The sequence below is a fragment of the Homo sapiens genome, chromosome 11 (genome assembly GCF_000001405.40).
Source record: "Homo sapiens chromosome 11, GRCh38.p14 Primary Assembly".
NCBI classification, from domain to species: domain Eukaryota; kingdom Metazoa; phylum Chordata; class Mammalia; order Primates; family Hominidae; genus Homo; species Homo sapiens.
The window spans coordinates 75,740,066-75,743,821 of record NC_000011.10 but is presented as its reverse complement, the minus strand read 5'-3'; the positions used below and the strand labels follow the sequence as shown (position 1 = coordinate 75,743,821).

The 3,756-nt window shown below is 45.7% G+C and overlaps 1 pseudogene; it reads right to left on the bottom strand.

The window, feature by feature from the left end:
• On the bottom strand, nt 1,396-1,693 carry RN7SL786P (RNA, 7SL, cytoplasmic 786, pseudogene; annotated as a pseudogene).

Genomic DNA, 3,756 nt, shown 5'->3' with positions numbered 1-3,756 from the left:
GGGACTGCAGTCCAGGGAAGGAAATGGACTGGGCCTCCTGACACCCAGCTCCTGCTCCCTCCCCAAAGTGTAGGAGCTAGCAGGAGCCTTGCCACTGAGAAGTGGGGACATCAGTGCTTAATCAGACCAACCTCTGCTCTGAGGGGCTCCCAGTCTGGTGTAGGCCATAGACATTTTAAAAGTGTGATCAAGGCCGGGTGCAGTGGCTCACGCCTGTAATCCCAGCACTTCTGGAGGCCAAGACAGACAGATCACCTGAGGTTGGGAGTTCGAGACCAGCCTGATCAACATGGAGAAACCCAGTCTCTACTAAAAATACAAAAATTAGCTGGGTATGGTGGTGCATGCCTATAATCCTAGCTACTCAGGAGGCTAAGGCAGGAGAATCCCTTGAACCCAGGAGGCAGAGGTTGCAGTGAGCCAAGATTGCGCCATTGCACTCCAGCCTGGGCAACAAGAGCGAAACTCCATCTAAAAAAAAAAAAAAAAACACCACTGAAAAACAAAAGTGTGATCAATGCTAGGCTGGAAGGAAGCAGGGAATTGCGGAAGCCAAGAGGAGGCACCTCACAGCCTGGAGGGAGGTTGGATCAGGGATGGCTTTTTGGTGGAGTTAATGTCTAAAATGACTTAAAAGACTAAGGAGGAATTGAATTTGAGTAGTGAACAGCATCTTAGGCAGAGGGAACAGCTTGTGTAAAATGCTGGTCCTGGGGGAAGCAAGGTGCCCTAGAGAACTGGAAGTTCAATATGGCTGGAGGGTAGAGAGTGGCTGGGAAGGAAGACAGAAACCAGACTGTGCGGGCTGTATGCCAGCCAAGGAGCTGGACAGATAGACCACTGGGAAGTTTGAATCAGGTGAATGGTATGGTCAGACTTACATTAGAAAGATCCTTCTGGCTGCAAAGTGGAGGGTGGATAGCTTAAGATAGATTTGAGGTGGAAGATAAGACAACTCATTAATTGAGGGCTGACAGAGGCTTGCAGGCAGAAAGGCAAAGTCCAGGATATTATGCAGGTATTCATATAACAAGCGATGAAATGTGTTTCTACAAGATATTTGTTGTTGTTGTTGTTGTTGTTTTTAGAGATGGAATCTCACTCTGTTGCCCAGGCTGGAGTGCAGTGGTGCGATCTCGGCTCACTGCAACCTCCACCTCCTGGGTTCCAGCAATTCTCCTGCCTCAGTGTCCCAAGTAGATGGGACTACAGGCACCCACCGCCACGCCCAGCTAATTTTTTTTTAAATTTTAGTAGAGGCAGGATTTCACCGTGTTGCCCAGGCTGGTCTTTAACTCCTGAGCTCAGGCAATCTGCCCACCTAGGCCTCCCAAAGTGCTAGAATTACAGGCATGAGCCACCATGCCCGGCCTGTTTTTGTTTTTGTTTTTTTAAAGAGATGGGGTCTCATGAAGTTGCCCAGGCTGGAGTGCAGTGGCTATTCACAGGTGCGACCCCACTACCAATCAGCACAGGAGTTTTAACCTGCTCCATTTCTGACCTGGGCTGGTTTACCCCTCCTTAGGCAACCTGGTGGTCCCTTGCTCCCAGGAAGTCACCATAATGATGCTGAACTGAGTGTGAACACACAATTGGTATAGCACACTACAGCCCAGAGCTCCTGGGCTCAAGCGATCCTCCTGCCTCAGTCTCCAGAATAGCTGGGACTAAGGTGCATGACATCACACCTGGCTACAAAATTTTAACTGTAAACCCAAAGTAAATAATTGAGTATAATTTTTTGTAACATAGGTCTTGTAATAAGAATAATGAAGTTCTTTTTTGGAAGATAACATTTTAGTTCACTGGGGCTCAAAGTTCGTGTTTCCTATCATTAAATTGATTTCAAATGTTCATCTGTAAAAACCGTTCTTAGCCCACAGGTCATTCAAACAGAGGCTATAGCTTGCTCACCCTTAGTCTAGACTAATGGGGCCTTGGTAGAAGCGAGTAAGAAACAGGAGGCTCTTCCCTCCCCTCTTTACCGTCCCACAAGCCACAGTGCCTAAATCTTTGCCATTACTACCATTACTAAGCATTGCTGCTTCCACTGGGCTCTAGTTACTAGGAGGGACCTAGATCCTTTAGTCAAAAGAAAGACGCCAGGAATATAAACATCCCATAATTATGACCTCTCAGGGCAAGAGGGATCTCAGTAGTCCCTCTCCAGCCCTTTTCCAGGGCAGAATTAACATATATGTTTTGTAGAATCACTATATACTCCAGATACAGAAAGTGACTTACCCGAGGACATGCTGCAAGTTGCTGACAGGACTGGGACTTGAACTCAGGTCTTAGGATCCCTAACCCCACATTTCTTTATTTATACTACCATGAGGACATGGCCAATGTGGATGGGAGGAACACATGGGGAAGAGAGTAGTGTCAGGTCTCATTTGCCCAAGACAAGGGGCTCTTCAGGCTCCTGCCTTCCCCTTCTACCAGTCCAGTGGCAGATCAGCCCTCCTAATTTATTTCACATTTGCATATATCACTTCCAGATGAGGAACCTGAGTCTCAGAGAGAGTGAAGAACTTGCCTAGCATCTGTGGTAGGCTGAAAAGTGGCCCCCCAAAAGATATCTACATCCTAGTCTCTACAACCTGTGGATGTTAGCTTACATGGCAAAAAAGGTTGAGGGAGCTCTGCAGATGTGATTATGCTGAGGATCTTGAGATGGGAGCTTACCCTGGATGATATGGACAGGCTCTGAATGCCATTACATGTTCATAAGAGGGAAGCAGAGAGAGATTCTACGAGACACAGAGGGCAGAAGATGATGTGATGGTGGAAGCAGAGAGAAAGATTTGAAGATGCTGCTACCTGTGGAGATGGAGGAAGGGCCCATGAGCCAAGGAAAGTAGCTCTAGAAGCTGGACAAGTTAAGGAAACAGATTCCCCCCTAGAGCCTCTGGAGGGAAGTGGCCCTGCTGGCACCTTATCAAACTGACACCATTGCCACTGATTTCAGACTTCTTGCCTTCAGAACTGTAAGAGGATACATTTCTGTTGTTTTAAATGACTAAGTTTATGGTAATTTGCTATAACAGCTGCAGAAACCTAACATGACATCTCACAGCAATTGTTCTCAATGTAAATAAAATTTTAATTTTAGAATAGTTTTAGATTTACAGAAAAGATGCACAGATAGTAAAGAGAATTCCTATACACACTTCACCTTAAATGTTCAGAACTATTACACATTTGTCACAACTAAAAAGGCAAGATTGGCACATTACTATCAAACTCCTTATTTTATTCCAATTTTACTGGTTTTTCCTAGTGACTTCTATCTGTTAGAGGATCCCACCCAGGATACCATATTTCATTTAGATATCATGTCTTCTTAGCCTCCTCTGGTCTGTGACAGTTTCTCAGATTTTCCTTGTATTTGATGATGTTTAGTTTTGAGAAGTACAGGTCAGGTGTTCTGTGGGCTGTTCCTCAATATGGATTTATCTGATGTTTTTCTCCTGATTAAACTGGGGTTATGGCGTTTGGGGAGAAAGGCCACAGGAGTGATGTGCCATTCTCATCATAATACATCAAGGGTACTTACTATCAACATGACTTATCACTGGTGATTTTAACCTTGATCACCTGGCAGAGGTAGTGTTTTCTAGGTGCTTTCACTATAAAGTTACTCCCTGTCCCTCCCTCCACACCCAGCTCTTTCTCAGTGCTACCCTTGGAAGCAAGTCTCTAAGCACAACCCAGTTCAACTGGGAGAGGGCTGAGCTTCATCTCAGGGGGAAT